Raw genomic sequence first — 18,398 nt, forward strand, 5'->3', positions numbered from 1 at the left:
GAAAGAATTGTCAGGCACACCAGCATATAGGGGAATCCCTTTTGTTTAAAAAATGCATCTTCAAAAGAATCAGCATCCAAGACTCCCTTTGAGGCCATGGTTGCGTGGGAAGCTCTGTGGGTCTCCCTACAATGACAAAACAGAGGATCTTGCTTGGATTGGTGCTTCACTCAAAATGCACAGACGGGGCAAAAACTGCAGACACAAAGCACGCACAGAAGAGAAGTCAGTGTTGAGCAGAGTGTGGGCTGAAGAATCCTGCCTCCTAAGGAGGTGACAGTCAAACAACACTTGCTCATCATGTGTGTCAAAGGCAGCGTTCGGCAGGTAAATAGCAATTAAGCATTTCCCACCCACTCACAAATTCCACGCTGGAAATGCTGGTATTGCAGGCGCCTCTTCCACTGTTGGGTCCATTCATAGCCAAGCTCTTTTTAAGAATGAAACAAACTTCTAAGACAGCAGACACTATTTCAGAGTGTTTTCAAAAATAACCCTAGAAAAACTATAACTTTCCGTCTGATGCCCTGGCATTTAATCACTTACACTGGCCCTATTTTGCTTTCAGTAAAATGAGATGAAAAGTCAAACTGCAACTATTGGATCAATGCGTAGTGTAAGAAAACCTAATCAAACAGGACCTCATTTGAGAAGGACATGGGTTCCCCTAAGCTTTGCACTGTTATCTAACACAGAACCAAAGTTTTCTCATTTGGACAAAATAGGAAACTTTGAAAAGCAGATACAATAAGATTTTCATATAGGTATTGCTTTCCAAATTATCTTTAAAATACAGCGCAAATATTACTTCCACTGAAGTAATATTTGATTTGATAAGTGGTGTATCAACCCATGCCACTTAAAATGTTGTCTTTCAAATAGTTGATGTCACAGTCAGTCAGTGACATCTATATTAACCAAAAGTTATGATCTATGAGAAAATATAGCTTTGTCTGTGAAGGCTTCTACTTTAATGTTGCTTCTTATTGAAGTAAAGTAAAAATAGGAGACAATCTTCTCTTTTTCTCTCCCAACTTCCAAGGGAGGTGTAACTGCATAATATAACCCATTATGCACTAGAGATCTGGGGGTTTTTTTGTTTTGTTTTGTTTTGAGACGGAGTCTTGCTCTTTCCCCAGGCTGGAGTGCAATGGCACGATCTCAGCTCACTGCAACCTCCGTCTCCTGAGTTCAAAAGATTCTCCTGCCTCAGACTCCCGAGTACCTAGGATTACAGGCGCATGCCCACCACAGCTGGCTAATTTTTTGTATTTTCAGTAGAGACAGGGTTTCACCGTGTTAGGCAGGATGGTCTCGATATCCTGACCTCGTGATCCACCCGCCTCGGCCTTCCAAAGTGCTGGGATTACAAGCGTGAGCCACTGCGCCCGGCCGAGATCTGGGTTATTTTTAATGAAGGGAGGAAAGGTGGAAAGGAGAAATAGTGAACACTAGTGATACAATTAAATAAAACAAACTGTGGTTTTGGGGTTTTGGTCTACAACCAGCCAGACAGTGAGTGAAAGAGAAATCATTGGCAGGTGCTGCATTTTGGATGAAGGTTTTTGCAGGCTGGGTAAGTCAGCCCAGTGCCAGCCTGTGTAGGAAGGAGGACAACCACCTACGTGGCATAATTTGAGATGTACAACAAGGCCCTGCTGGCCATAAAATAGCTCTTCCATGAAACTGCAACAGCCCAGTATTCTCCTCAACCAGTAAGTGTAAATCAAACAGTTACTCTATGCCCAATTGTGGCTGAACACAAAAGCAAATATGAGATATTATCCCTGCCTTCAAGACCTAACAATTTTATCAGAGAGACAAAAATAAAGTCAGTGAGGTCATATCAAATAAATTAAGGTAATGTATAGTTAAAATTGTATGATAAAACTTTCAGCTGCTATAGACTTCAGAAAAGGAAGGAAAAACTGGAGCAATCATGGAAGGCTTTTTCCATGGATGAGTGAGTGGAGGAATAAGATCTTGAAGGATTGTAAGGATTAGAAGAAAGGAAGAAAGATCAGAAAGCCCAACAACCCAGGGACACAGGTAAGGCAGGGGGTCTTTCTCATGAAAATGAGACACATCTGATTAAAAGAGTGCACTCTAGGCAGTGTCGAGAAATAACTAAATAGACAGAACCAGATCAGACAATGGGAAACTCTCATTTGTTGTCAAAAACCACGTTCATAGCTTCGTCTTTGCTAAAGACTAAGAAATGAATCCTCCTCCCCAGTTATACTTTATATCACCACCCTATTTATTCTTTCATAAGGATTTATCATTATATTTTATTATCTTACTTTTATTTCATTTACTTCTGGTATTTCTGGACTTACTTATTTACTATTTATTGTACATCTCCTGCCTGGTACATGTGGACCAATGGAAACCATTCCAGAAGACACTTGGTGGAGTTGGGTGGGATGGTCTTTAGCTTTTTTGAGGGGGAGGGGGAAGGTATCGGGGGCAGAGTCTTGTTCTGTCACCCAGGCTGGAGTGCAGTGGTGCAATTTTGTATCACTGCAACCTCCACCTCCTGGGTTCAAGCAATTCTCCCATCTCAGCCTCCCAAGTAGCTGGGATTACAGTCATGCACCACTACTCCCAGCTAATTTTTGTATTTTCTTAGTAGATAAAAAATACTACTTTCACCATGTTGGCCAGGCTGGTCTCAAACTCCTGACCTCAAGTAATCTGCCTGCCTCGGCCTCCCAAAGTGTTGGGATTACAAGTGCGAGCCACTGCGCCCGGCCAGCTCTCTTTCATTATCTCAAACTCACTGAGTACTTTATGTTCCTCTTGAAGACAGAAGGAGCCCAGTCCTGAAGAATCCAGAAGAAAATATTCTTTCTGAGGAGTATGGAATGGGGATATTTAGGAACAAGGCAAGCCATGTGAAATTTAAGAATGAAAGAGTGCCACAAGGGAGAATGCCATCCATTGGTCACAGGGAGATTGAAACGGGGATCCTTTGAGCCCGGAATTGCAAGTCCAGGCTGGGCAACATAGTGAGATCCTATCTCTAAAAGTTAGATTAATGTTAAAAGTTAAAAAAAGAAGAAAAAAAAAGAACAACAGGCAAGTATAGAATTAAGAAGCAAAAAGGAAGCCAGGCATGGTGGTGGCTCATGCCTGTAGTCCCAGCACTTTGGGAGGCTGAAGGGGGAGGATTGCTTGAGCACAGGATTTCGAGACCAGCCTGGGCAACATAGTGAGACCCCATGTCTTTAAAAAAAAAAAAAAAAAGAAGAAGAAGAAGGAGAAGATGGAATCTTAGAGAAGATCTATTAAAAATAAAAATTTTTTGGCCAAGCGCAGTGGCTCATGCCTTTAATCCGAGCACTTTGGAAGGCGGGGGCGGACAGATCACCTGATGCCAGGAGTTCCAAACCAACCTGACCAACATGGTGAAACCCAGTCTGTACTAAAAATACAAAAATTAGCCAGGCCTGGTGGCATGTGCCTGTAATCCCAGTTACTTGAGAGGCTAAGGCAGGAGAATCACTTGAACCCAGGAGGCAGAGGTTGTAGTGACTTAAGACTGTGCCATTGCACTCCTGCCTGGGCAAGAAGAGCGAAACTTCATCTTAAAAAATAAATAAATAAATAAATAAACAAACATTTTTAAAAATTAAAAAAAAAATGTAAGAAGTACGAAAGAGAAAAAATGGGTGAGTGCATAGAAAGGCAGTGAGCATGAAAAGATGGAAGTATTCCTAGGATCTACCTTGTACTGAGTCTAGAACTGGGTCGAATCACAATAGCAGCGACCTCATCCTGGTGTCTTGCTGAAATGTGGAGAATAGCTAGGGAATCCGAAGGTTTATAAAAACACAGAGGTCAAAAGACTTAAGCAGTTATGATGGAAGTCTGGGTCAAAGGAGGAGCTTTCCCTGTGAAGTGAATGTCACTCCAGAAGTGTCTGCACTTTAATTAGACTAATTAAGTAATTGGTATACTCATCTCTTCACTCATCGCATGACAGAGTCTTAGGGGCTGAAAGGCATTAGAGAGACTTTCAATCAACTATCAACCTTCAGATAAACTTTTCCCAAAATATTCTGAACTAAAAGCAACTTATTCTCATTTTTAAAGCACAGGGAAACAAAACTCTACTGCAATTCATGTTCAATAATGAAATAAATGTTTCAGGAAATTCTTTCATGACTCAATACCAAAAAATCTAGCTTCGACAGAGGCGCATGCGCATCCAGGTGCAGTTCTAAAACTGATTTGCAGAGACCAGGCCTCTCAGTTTCCCTTCTTGTAACAACCATCAAATGCTAGTTCTCACCCACCACAGGTTCCTTGCTTCCTTCCTGTCTTGGTCTCATCTTGTCTTCTTCCTGTTCCATGTCATGGTGGAGAATATACTGAAGGACACTGAGTCACGCAAGACAAGAAGCTAAAATCCCACCCTGTCGGAATAGTGCGGGGCAGCTGTCTACTTTGTCTTTATATCTAACTCAAAGTGCTTGACCCACTCACCTATTTCCAATATTTATGAGATCCTGTGAGAAACAGAGCTACAGACATATAAAGTCCTTAATGTTGAAAGAAAATTTTGTTCAGAATTTTTCATTTTTTACAGTTTTGCTCAATTGGTGGAAGACTGTCTCTGCATTATTATTTTTTTTTCTTTTTTGAAACAGACTTTGGTTCTTGTTGCCCAGGCTGGAGTGCAATGGTGCGATCTTGGCTCACTGCAACCTCCGCCTCCTGGGTTCAACTGATTCTCCTGCCTCAGCCTCCCAAGTAGCTAGGATGACAGGCATGAGCCACCACGCCCAGCCATTTTTTTTTTTTTTTTTTTTGTATTTTTAGCAAAGACTGGGTTTCACCATGTTGGCCAGGCTGGTCTCAAACCCCTGACCTCAGGTGATCCACCCACTTCGACCTCCCAAAGTGCTAGGATTACAGGTGTGAGCCACTGCACCCAGCTGATTTTTAAATTTTTTTAAACAAGCACATACTACCATGCCTGGCTAGTTTTTTTTATTATTATTATTTTTAGTACAGCTGGAATCTCACTATTTTGCCCAGGCTGGTCTCGAACTCCTGAACTCAGATGATCCTCCTGCCTTGGTCTCCCAAAGTGCTGGGATTACAGGCATGAGCTACCATGCCCAGACTGCACTATTCTTTATAGTACACAAAACAAGCTTTTCAAATATAACCTTCTGGCAAGGCATGGTGGCTCACGCCTGTAATCTCAGCATTTGGGGAGGTTGAGGCAGGAGGATTGCTTGAGCCCAGGAGTTTGAGACCAGCCTGGGCAACATAGTAAGACCCCCTCTCTACAAAAAAAAAAAAATTAGCCAGGCATGGTGGCATGTGCCTGTAGTCCCATCTACTCGGGAAGCCGAGTCAGGAGGACCACTTGAGCACAGGGGGTTGAGGATACAGTGAATTATGATCACCCCACTGCACTCTAGTCTAAGTGACAGAGTGAGATCCTGTCTCAAAAAAATAAATAAATAAATAAAATAAAATGTAAACTGTCTACTCTCTTTGGAGCCAAATATGGAAGATTGGGAAAAAAAAGTGCTTTGAAAATTAGTAACTATGTTCATGTTGAGAATCATGGTTCCCATTGTGGAAGAAGAGACATGAAAATATGAAATTGGGGAAAGCAAGAAAGAGTCCTACAGGGGTGTATTAGATTTGGAGGTACTGGTGTGAACTGTGATTTCTAAAATATGTCTATGTAGGTATTATATATGCATATCTGTGTGCACATGTATATCATAAATGTATGCATATGTGTATGTATGTGTATGTATATATGCCTATATACACATATGTATTTCTTAGCTCTCTACACTTTTAGAGGGCCAAGAGGCAAATACCCACCAGTAGCACCCAGATCTTGGATTCTAATACCATTCTCCACTAAAAGGATCCAGGGATTCTCAGAGAAATGTCTGATTACAGGAACAGGACAGGATAGGTGCAAAAGAACCTGGAATATCTGGCTATTCCAGAAAGGAAGAAAATGCTCCAAACAATAATGAAGGCATATTACAAGGACACAAGAGCCAGCTTGGCTGATTCTGGCCAAATCGAGGACAATGTGAGTATGAAATGTCCTAGCACCAATCATGAATTAGAAACCATTGAATGAATAGAAATTCACGTCCATTGCAAAAACACAAGGAAAAGTGATGATGATGATGATGGTGAAGATAGAAGATAGATGGACAGACAGACAGACAGAAAATAGATAGATTAGGGGTTTTCACTTTGTTCGAATCCTCCCCCACCCCGTCTCTGTATGGGGGAGCTGTTTTCTTCTTCCTTCCTTCTTTCTTGCCTATTAAACTTTTTGTTCCTTAAAACCACACACACACACACACAAAAGATGATAGATAGATAGATGATAGATAGATGATAGATAGATAGATAGATAGATAGATAGATAGACAGATAAATAGATATAGATAGATAGATAGATAGATGAAAAGAGAGATCTCTTTCTTGCAGTAGAATGCGGAGGGCTGAATAGTAGATATGGAAGTAATGCTAAAGTTAGAAAATTATCATTTTACAACTACCATGGTTAAAATCAAATCAGGAAAAATTTATCAATGAAAGTTAAATACTGGAGGAAATTTTGATAAGATGCAAGATATTTGCATAGTCCTATTACTTGCAAGAGAGAGAGGGGAAAAAGTAATTAGATAGTGGGGAAATCAGGCTGCCTTGACCAGTGTATCAAAGTTAACATCATGGATGAGAGAGAGATGGACATTGCAGGCCTCCTGATGGGATGTCCTAAAAGGACACATCACCGATGCGGTAATCTGCTAAGGAATGTAGTACCTCAATCTAGCACCAGGAAACACCACACAAATACAAAATTAGAAATGTTACATTTATAAAAGGGGGACAAACTATGTTCTTTTTAAAATGTCATAAAAGACAAGGGAAGGTTGTAGGATTTGTTCCAGATTGAAGGAGGCTAAAGAATTCTGACAACTAATTGCAATGCTTATTCCTAGACTGGATCCACTGGAGAGAAAAATATACTATGAAGGACATTACTAGATTACTAATAAAATTGGAATATGGATGGTAGATAGGATAAAAGCGTTATATCAGTGTAAATGTAAGAAGAAAACAGCCATATTGTAGTCATTCGTAGGAAATAAACACAGAAGAACTTAGGGGTAACAGGACATGATGTTTGTAATTTACCATTAAATAGTACAGAAAAAAATACAGAGGGCCGGGCATGGTGGCTCATGCCTGTAATCCCAGCACTTTGGGAGGCCAAGGGAGACAGATGACTTGAGGCCAGGAGTTTGAGACCAGGCTGGCCAACATGGTGAAATCCGGCCTCTACTAAAAATACAAAAATGAGCCAGGCGTGGTGGTGGTGCGTGCCTGTAATCCCAGCTACTCGGGAGGCTGAGGTAGGAGAATTGCTTTAACCTGGGATGTGGAGGTTGCAGTGAGCTGAGATCATGCCACTGCACTCCAGCCTGGGCAACAGAGCAAGACTCTGTCTTAAAAAAAAGAAAAGAGAAAGAAAAAGAAAGAAAGAAGGAAAGAAAGAAAGAAAGAAAGAAAGAAAGAAAGAAAGAAAGAAAGAAAGAAAGAAAGAAAGAAAGAAAGAGAGGGAGGGAGGGAGGGAGGGAGGGGGGAGGGAGGGAGGGAGGAAGGAAGGAAAGAAAGAAAGATGAAAGAAAGAAAGAGAAGGAGCAAGAGACCAAAGAGTTCAGATGACAAAGTAAGTGGGGTAAATGCTAACAATAGGTCAATTCTGTTAAAAGGTATAGGAATGTTCCTTATAACTATCTTTACTTCTACAACTTTTTTGTAAGTTTGAAACTATTTCCAAATAAAAAGCTTAAAAAAAGAAATGCTTTGACATTGAGTAGTTCTAGGGACAAAGGAATAAAGGTAGATGATTTCATCCAATGCTTTATTATTATCTTTTAATTATAATTGAAAATTAATTATTTCACTTATTTGAATGTAAATCTTAAGATATTGAAAGTGCCACTTTAGATGTTGCACACTTCTGTTGGGTCATCAGTATTCTAGGCCAGGGTCATGGAGCTGGTAGATAGAGTCAACAGATCCTCTAGCCTACAACAAAAATTCCCTGGCCACATGCACATTGACCCCACCCACATTTATCAGTGTCAAATCCCACATTACAGCCCCCTCCTCACAACAGATCCTCCCACTGAATATATTTTTAGAATTCTCTCCAAGCCCAAATGTGAATAATAAAGGAAAACAGATTACAATTTGGATCCCAGAGCCTGACAACTTAAGCCTATTGCAGAGTCTTCTTGGACTCTGTCTTTTGTGCCCACTCTAATTTCCATAATACAAATTCAATTCACATTTTTCAATAAAGCTGCTCCCCTTTAAAAAATGTGCATTCTTAATCTTTGCAATCTGTACATCTAACAAAGGACTAATATCCAAATCTACAAGGAACTCAAACAAATCAGGAAGAAAAAAACAATCCCATCAAAAAGTGGGCTAAGGACATGAATAGACAATTCTCAAAAGAATTTATACAAATGGTCAGCAAACATATGAAAAGATGGTCAACATCACTAATGATAAGAGAAATGCAAATCAAAACCGTAATGCAACACCACCTTACTCCTACAAGAATGGCCTTAATAAAAAAAAAAAATAGTAGATGTTGGCATGGATGTGGTGAAAAGGAAGCACTTTTACACTGCTGGTGGGAAGGTAAACTAGTAAAACCACTATGGAAAACAGTGTGGAGATTCCTTAAAGAACTAAAAGTAGAATTACCATTTGATCCAGCAAGCCCACTACTGGATATCTACCAAAAGGAAAATAAGTAATTACACAAAAAAGATACTTACACACGCATGTTTATAGCAGCACAATTCGCAATTGCAAAAATATGGAACCAGCCCAAATGTCCATCAGTCAACAAGTGGATAAAGAAAATATGGTGTATATATATATACCATGGAATACTACTCAGCTATAAAAAGGAACAAAATAATGCCATTCAAAGCAATCTGGATGGAATTGGAGACCATTATTCTAAGTGAAGTAACTCAGGAATGGAAAACCAAACATCGTATGTTCTCACTCATAAATAGGAGCTAAGTTCTGAGGACACAAAGAATGATACAATGGACTTTGGGGACTTGGGGGAAAGGGTGGGAGTGGGGTGAGGTATAAAACACTACACATTGGGCTGGGTGTGGTGGCTCACACCTGTAATCCCAGCACTTTGAAAGACCGAGGCGGGTAGATTACCTGAGGTCGGGAGTTCGAGACCAGCCTGATCCACATGGAGAAACCCTGTCTCTACTAAAAATACAAAATTAGCCGGGTGTGGTGGTGCATGCCTGTAATCCCATCCACTCAGGAGGCTGAAGTAGGAGAATCGCTTGAACCCGGGAGGCAGAGGTTGCAGTGAGCAGAGATCGGGCCATTGCACTCCAGCTTGGGCAACAAGAGCGAAACTCCATCTCAAAAAACAAACAAAAAAAAAGAATACACACTGGGTACAGTGTACACTGCTCAGGTGATAGTTGCACCAAAATCTCAGAAATCTCCACTAAAGAACTTATTCATGTAACCAAACACCACCTGTTCCCAAAAAACCTATTGAAATATATATATATTTTTTTAAATAATAGGCTGGGCACAGTGGCTCATGCCTGTAATCCTAGCTCTTTGGGAGGCCGAGGCGGGTGGATCACGAGGTCAAGGGTTTGAGACCACCCTGGCAAACATGGTGAAACCTTGTCTCTACTACAAATACAAAAAATTAGCCGGGCGTGGTGGCGGGCGCCGGTCATCCCAGCTACTCGGGAGGCTGAGGCAGGAGAATTGTTTGAACCCAGGGGCGGAGGTTGCAGTGAGCGGAGATCGCGCCATTGCACTCCAGCCTGGGCAACAAGAGCGAAACTCTGTGTCAAAATACTAACAACTAATGATAATAATAATAATACAGAACAATGGGGGAAAAATGTGCTTTCTTTAGCCCCAGTGGCATTTTTAAAAACAATTTAACCTAAACCATTTGTATTAGGAGAAAGTTTTCTGAGTAGTCAACATTGCAGAAATAGAAAATCAGTATTTTACCTAAAATGAATGTGAAAAGTTTATTAAATACTTAGAAGTACTTATTACCCAAAATACTTCATTCTAATTTATCAAAATGCTCTATAGAAGTGATTGCAGAACTTGTTCTTACAAACTGAACCCACACTCGGCCAGCTGGCAGAAGTACTCGAAAATATCCACGAATGCTGGTCACTGAAGACACCTAGAGGACGTATTTAGAAACTACACAAAAACAGGACAGCAAATGTTCAACAGCTCCTATTACTGTCGTTGTGTTTAAAGAGCATTTGCTCAGGACACCCTGTGGGAGGAGGGGAGCGGAGTGGGGAATCAGGCCTTTAGTGCCAAAAACTGGAAAATCAGATTCTTGGCACATGCCAGAGTAATTTTCACAATGTGCTACATTAGTTCCATAAGAGCATGTTCTGTGATAGTCCTGTTGCTATAGATAAGAATGTGTGTCTCACTGGCTAAAAAAGAACATCATTGAAAACCTATATTGTGATTGACAGTGGTCAAAGATGCCAGGAAAATCTTTGCTCTGTCCTAGTTCCTTATTTGCTTTCCTGTTGCTCAGTCCTATTTGCACCCATGATTGTGGAAATTTTAAAAAGTTATTTCTAGGTCATTAAAAACTCTCCTTTGACTTTCCAAAAGCCCCAGTTATGGTCTACCCTTTGGTAGAAAGGAGAGATGACTCATCTTGTCCCCTTTGGCCCATGAACCTCCCAGTCTTCTTTCCAATTAATAGCAGGCTGGTGCGAAAGAGTGTTTTGTTCCTGCTTTAGGAACCTAAATTTTACAATCTGGGTGAACAGAAATATGCAATGACAGCAAATGTAACAATCATTTAAAACACAGCTACAACTCTCACAAGAATGACTATTTTTAACACTAAATTCCATGGCCCAGAAAGAAGTTTAAATATTTTAAGCAATATTTATTACAACAAGAATGCAAGCTGTGTCTAGCCATCCTTGATAATGGAATTTAACCAGGGCCCTCCTGTGGAGTATCATACTACTTTATGAGAAAATTCCCTTTTCCTATGTTACAGAGGGATCAGACCATGTATGTATAAAGAGTATTACTTCAGGAACATCTGCTTTATTGACCAATTATTGATTTAAAATATTTGAGCTTTCTTTATAAGAACTATTTGAAAACTTTAGCTTAAAAGTTTTCATCTCTTTTGTCGGGGTAGGGATCAGAGAACAGAAAGAAGTTGCTTCCCAGTGTCTGGAAGTACTTACCAATGACAAACTCGAATCTGAGGTTACATTTTTATGTCCAGACAGGGTGTGGCTGGACATGGAACAGGGGAAAATGTGCATTTGGCAATTTTCAACTTCTTTTTCAAGGAGGAAAACAATGTATAAGACTGGTTAGTTTCTGGCTGGGTGCAGTGGCTCACGTCTGTAATTCCAGCACTTTGGGAGGCCAAGGTGGGAGGATCACTTGAAGCTAGGAGTTCGGGACCAGCCTAGGCAACATAGTGTGACCCCACCTCTGCAAAAATAAATTTACTGGGCGTGGTGGTGTGCGCCTGTAGTTCTAGCTACTCGAGAGGCTGAAGTGGGAGGATTGCTTGGGTTTGGGAGGTTGAGCCTGCAGTGAGCCATGATTGTGCCATTGCACTCCAGTCTAGGCAACAGAAAGAGACCTTCTCTCCAAAAAATAAAATAGTTTCACCAAGGTTAAAAGGAACATTTGCTAATATACATGGGGATGGCATTATTGCTCAATCTTTATTGAACACCTACATGAAATGGGCAGTATTAAATGATATGAATAATTATGATTTCCATACATAACATGTTTCAGTCTGGGGCTTGAGTAGCAAAATTCATTTAAATCCATGTAAAAATAAGCACAATGGAATCTTTTTAGATGGTTAATTAAGTTCATATGATGTTAAAAGATTTTGAATTAAACTGAAAGCAAGTCACTATTACTGTGATATTTAGTAAGAAAGCAGAAATCCAGGAGACTCATAAAAAGTGGAAAAAACAAAGGCCTAATTCAAAAGATATAAGCTGGGGTAATTTTTTTTCTCTCTTAAGAAGTAGGGCTGGGCGCAGTGGCTCACGCCTGTAATCCCAGCACTTTGGGAGGCCAAGGTGGGTGGATCGCCTGAGGTCAGGAGTTCAAGACCAGCCTCACCAACATGGTGAAACCCCATCTTTACTAAAAATACAAAATTAGCCAGGCATGGTGGCGAATGCCTGTAATCCCAGCTACTCCAGAGCCTGAGGCAGAAGAATCGCTTGAACCCAGGACAGGGAAGTTGCAGTGAGCTGAGTTCACACCACTGCACTGCAGCCTGGGTGACAGAGCAAGACTCTGTCTCAAAGAAAAAAAAGAAGTATCCCGCACATCTAGGGCATCTAAGATAACAAATGCTGTTTTTTTTATTTTTAGTAGTCCAAGGGATTTTCTCTATTTTAATTGTTTTAATTTTTAAATACATAATAGACCCACATGAGTTCAAATTTTTGGAAGAAGAAGATACGGCTATAAAAAGTTTTCCTCCCACTTCTGTCCCTTAGCAACCAGTTTCCTGACTCAGAAACAACCAGTCTTATTAGTTTTTTTAATGTATTCTTTATTTTATACATAAACAAACAACACACACACACACCTTCTTTCTCTTGCTTTTTGTGCCCTTGTGAGCATTCTAAACGTTGTATTCTGTGCCTTGCTTTTTCCACTTAATATCTGTGCAAGCATATAGTACATATACCTCTCTCACTCTTTAATTCTTTTCTTTATCTTCTTTTAGAAATGGTGTCTCACTCTGTTGCCCTGACTGGATTCAAACTCCTAGGCTTAAGTGATCCTCCCACTTCAGCCTCCCAGGTGAATGGGATTACAGATGCCTGTCCCAGCTCTCATTATTTTTGTATATCCACACAGTATTCCATTATATGGATGTACCATACTTTATTTAATGAACCCCTTATTAGTGGGCATTCAAAAGTTGTTTTCAAATCTTGTTTCTAATCCTGATTATTACAAGATTGGCATAGTAAATAACTTTGTACATTATCTGTATCTATAAATTCCTTGAAGTGGAATCCTGAGTCAAAGAACATGTGCATTTGTAATTTTGCTAGATACTGCCAAATTTTCTCCAAAGAGTTGTGCCTTTTACACTGCACCAGCATTGTACAGAGGTGTCTGTTTCCTCATTCTCCCCAGCACATAGACTTTAAAAAAATATTTACTGGCCAGGCATGGTGGCTCATGCCTGTAATCCCAGCACTTTGGGAGGCCAAGGTGGGCAGATCACAAAGTCAAGAGATAGAGACCATCCTGGCCAACATGGTGAAACCTGTCTCTACTAAAAATACAAAAATTAGCCAGGTGTGGTGGCGGGCACCTGTAATCCCAGCTACCCGGGAGGCTGAGGCAGGAGAATCGCTTGAACCCAGGAGGTGGTAGTTGCAGTGAGCAGAGATCACACCACTGCACTCCAGCCTGGCGACAGAGCAAGACTCCGTCTCAAAAAAATAAGTTAAAAATATATTTACCACCTTCTTCCCTGAGCCTGAATATTCTAGTTTTCTAGGCTTTCTCTATTCTGGGTCTCGTCTGCATAAATCCCACAACATTTTAACATCAACTCTCTGTTGCCATTTGCCGCTGTTTCCAGCCCTCCCCTTAACCACGTAGACCTTGCCTCCACCCCAGTTACCCTGCCTTGGGTCATATTATTTCCTCCGCTGGAATATCTTTTCCTGTCAATACCATCCCTCCAGCCTGCCCAGCTTTCAAAATTCTCCCTTCACCTCCATGAAACTTTTGTCAATTATCTGGCTCTTATTGATCTCTTCTAAGAACTTCCCAACAACAATTTATTGTGCCATAAAAGGGTTACAGGCAAATGGAGCTACTGATCCCCCTCAGATCTCAGGATAGGCAGGCACGGTCTGCGTGAGAGCCCCTTGATTGGTGTTTCTGGCCAGGTCTGCTTTATCAGTTTACCCCAGAGTCCATACAATATCATCATTTTCTTTCTTTTTTATTTTTTATTTTTTTTTCTGAGACAGAGTTTCACTCTGTCGCCCAGGCTGGAATGCAGTGGCGCGATCTCTATTCACCGCAACCTCCACCTCCCTGGTTCATGCGATTCTCCTGCCTCAGCTTCCCGAGTAGCTGGGACTACAGGCGCGTGCCACCACGCCCAGCTGATTTTTGTATTTTTAGTAGAGACGGGGTTTCACCATGTTGGCCAGGATGGTCTCGATCTTCTGACCTCGTGATCCGCCCACCTCGGCCTCCCAAAGTGCTGGGATTACAGGCATGAGCCACTGCGCCTGGCAATATCATCATTTTCTATGCAAGCCATGACATGAAAAATGAAGATGAGCTTACCAAGAGCACTATGCTGGCACAAAGTCGATGCACAGTAAATACTGTCCGATTGATTGACATGATTTCCTTTAGGTTCTTTGTTGTCTTCCATAATCATTTCTGTTTTTAGCCATAATAGCCACTAGTAAATACTATCATTGTTTTTTTTCCTTTTTCCATTATTTAAAAATAAAACCTACACTCTACTTCACCTCGATCATTTCCTACTTCCTGAACATTCCTGAAACTTTGTAACCAGCATCTCCACCTTCAGCTGTCCTCTGGAATGATCAGGAAGATTCACCAGCACCTCCATGGAGCACTGAGGGAGAGGCGAGTCTCTCACAGAATCAATTCACGTGGCTTTGATAGAAATGGGATACTCCACTGAGGGATGCTTAAGCAACCAGAGGTAGAGCCCTTGTCACAGGCTTCACCTGTGTCTCCGCCTTTGGCAGGGCTGGTGTCAGCAGTGCTGGCAGTCACACCATGGTTGGCAGGGACACTGCACATCATAGCCCCTGATAACTGCGTTCAGCTATTATGATGGTGACCATACGAGGCAGGCAGCACCACTTTTTGTAAATATCTCAAAAGCAAGGCTAAATAAGAAAAGGATACCTCAACAGCTAACCTTTATATGCAGTTTCTTTTTTTTTTTTTTTTGAATGGCCTGCCACAGCTGCCCAGCTGCAGTGGCACCTATGGGGTTTCTATATGTGAGAGATCACACTTTACATATGTTAATTCATTTTAAATCTCACAATCATAACAGAGAAGTATTATTGTTATCATCCTTTTTTTTTTTTTTGAGACAGTCTCGCTTTGTCACAGACACCATCGTCGGTACACTGCAACCTCCGCCTCCCATGCTCAAGCGATTCTCCTGCCTCAGCCTCCCAAGTAGCTGGGATTACAGGTGTGTGCCACCATGCCTGGCTAATTTTTGTATTTTTAGTAGAGACGGGGTTTTGCCATGTTGGCCAGGCTGGTCTTGAACTTCTGGCCTCTAGTGATCTGCCAGCCTAGGCTTCCCAAAGTATTGGCATTACAGAAGTGAGCCACTGCACCCAGCCTCGTCCCTATTTTCAAGTAGGAAAACTAAGGGACAGAAAGATTAAACTCCTTGCCCAAGGTCACTTAGCTGGTAAATGGCAGAGCTGGAATCCATACGCAGGTACTCCAGGCTCTGAAGTCCATGCAGGGAGCTCTGTACTATGCTAGCTCTCTTTACCAGGTACTGGTGGCATAGTTGCCCCTTCAGCCTTAGTTATGCAAAGAGACATCATCATCATAGAGGCTCAAAGGTGTACAGGAGGCCGGGTACGATGGCTCATGCCTGTAATCCCACCACTTTGGGAGGCCAAGGCAGGTGGATCACCTAAGGTCAGTGTTCGAGACCAGCCTGACCAACGTGGCGAAACCCCATCTCTACTAAAAATACAAAATTAGCCAGGCGTGGTGGCACATGACTGTAATTTCATGTACTCATGACTGTAATCATGTAATGTAATGTAATCATGTAATGAGTACATAACTGTACACGTACTCATGTACTCATGACTGTAATCTCATGTACTCGAGAGGCTGAAGCAGGAGAATCACTTGAACCCAGGAAGTGGAGGTTGTAGTGAGCTGAGATCACACCATTACACTCCAGCCTAGGCAACAAGAGTGAAACTCTGTCTCAAAAAAAAGAAAAAAGAAAGAAAGAAAGGTGCACAGGAGGAAACTGTCAGAAGAATTAAGGTGAGGATCCCATTCACTCATGAAAATATTTCATGCCAATAAAAAATGTTTCCTCTAGGTAGCCACAGTCGCCAAGCCTTGGTGAGCAGATGGTATTCGCATGTCAATTAAGAAAAAGTATTGGCCAGGCGTGGTGGCTCACGCCTGTAATCCCAGCACTTTGGGAGGCTGAGGTGGGAGGATCACAAGGTCAGGAGTTGGGGAACAGCCTGGCCAATATGGTGAAACTCTGTCTGTACTAAAAATACAAAAATTAGCCAGACGGTGGCAGGTGCCTGTAGTCCCAGCTACTTGGGAGGCTGAGGCAGGAGAATTGCTTGAACCCGGAAGGCAGAGGTTGCAGTGAGCCGAGATCACACCACTGCACTCCAGCCTGGGCGACAGCAGAGTGAGACTCTGTCTCAAAAAAGAAAAAAAAGAAAAAGAAAAGAGAAAAAAAGGAAAAGTATTTCTCCAGGCAGAAGAAGCCCATGAGGTTTAGTGAGTGAAGCAAGGGCTGGATTTCAGCTCCCACAGGATCCCCCAGCTGAGAGGCCTTGACATTCACAACTATGATGGTTCCAAATTAAGGACAGGTGAGAGACAACACAAAATCAATAGCTCAATGTTCTCTCTTATATAATGATATCTACAGATTATGTTAAAGATCTGGATGACTTAAAATGACATTATGTGTATGTAATCTGTATCTTGCTTGCCCCATCAACCTATGCAGTCAAAAAGAGGTCAGAGTTAATTTTGGTGCCCAAATGGCCATGACTCACGATGTACCCTTCAGTTCCTACCTGCTGCTCAAACCTAACTCATCTGCCCCGATACAAGTTTCTGGAAGGCCCCTAAGGGGAGCATCGCGTGTGCCTACAGCCAAGATAGTAGTTCTAGGCTCCGGCTTTCCCACATCATGGGCTTCTCCTAACCACAGAAGCTCTGCCAAGGTTTTTTAGAAGCCACCAAAGCTACCAGTCCTCAGAGTACCAAGGGAACCCTGGGAGCAGTACAGAGGGAAGGAAACTGACCCCCTCCCCAATTTTGTGCCACATCTTCTCACCTGAGCCCCAAAAACAGATCTGTCTACATCTAGAATCTCTCAAAATCTCGAAAAAAAAGTTTTTACCTCATATGCAGAATTCTACCACACCTTCCTGTCAGTTTCTTATCTTTACCTCTTCAACTAGAGGGAGTCAAATTCAATCCAAGGGGCTGAACAGGAAGACAGACACGATCACCATTGTCTCCATTCATTCATTAATTTACGTATGCACTCATCCATTCAATCAGCATTGATTGAGGCCAACTTCTGTGCTTGACACTGTTCTTGGCACTGAGGATAAAACATTAAATAAGGGGAGATGAAGAGCTTTAGGAAAAATAGCTAATGCATGCTGGGCTTAATAGCTAGGTGACGGGTTGATAGGTGCAGCAAACCACCACAGGACACATTTACCTATGTAACAAACCTGCACATCCTGCACATTTACCCTGGAACTTAAAATAAAAATAGAATTTAAAAAAAAAAAAACACTAAATAAGACAGATAGGCCTGGCGCGGTGGCTCACGCCTATAATCCCAACACTTTGGAAGGCCAAGGTGGGTGGATCACCTGAGGTCAGAAGTTCAAGACCAGCCTGACCAATACAGTGAAATGCCGTCTCTACTAAAATTACAAAAATTAGCCAGGTGAGGTGGCATGCGCCTGTAGTCCCAGCTACTCAGGAGGCTGAGGCAGGAGAATCGCTTGAACTGGGGAGGTGGAGTTTGCAGTGAGCCAAAATCGAGCCACTGCACTCTACCCTGGTTGACAGAGCGAGACTCCGTCTTAAAAAAAAAAAAAGGTAAGGTCACTAATATCACAGAGCTTACATTATAGTGTGGGGAAGCAGAAAACAATCAAACCAACAAATTAATTAACAAGAAGCTATTAGCTAGTGATAATTGCTATGATAACAAAATAAGGTTTCAAACAAAGATTGAAAAAATCTAAAAAAAATTTTAATAAAATAAGGTGAGGTGATAGGGAGAGACAATATTTTTCAATACTGCAAGACCCAGCAGCCTCTATTCATAACACATATTTTATTTTGTTATTAATTAGTTATTGATAAAAATTGTATGTATTTATCTCACAACAAGTTGTTTTGAAATATATATACATTGGGGAGTGGCTAAGTCGAACTAAATTAACATACACATTACCTCACATACTTATTAT

The 18,398-nt window shown here is 41.5% G+C and overlaps 1 annotated feature.

Moving 5' to 3' along the window:
* Window positions 16,742–16,911: an enhancer, noted in NCBI's record as "experimental_14069 CRE fragment used in MPRA reporter constructs". NCBI's record gives its function as "activates a minimal promoter by MPRAs in K562 erythroleukemia cells, with activity observed for both the introgressed and non-introgressed 10:64850388 variant alleles {active_cell/tissue: K562}" and the evidence as "EXISTENCE:reporter gene assay evidence [ECO:0000049][PMID:34662402]".

The sequence above is a fragment of the Homo sapiens genome, chromosome 10 (assembly GCF_000001405.40).
Source record: "Homo sapiens chromosome 10, GRCh38.p14 Primary Assembly".
Taxonomy (NCBI): domain Eukaryota; kingdom Metazoa; phylum Chordata; class Mammalia; order Primates; family Hominidae; genus Homo; species Homo sapiens.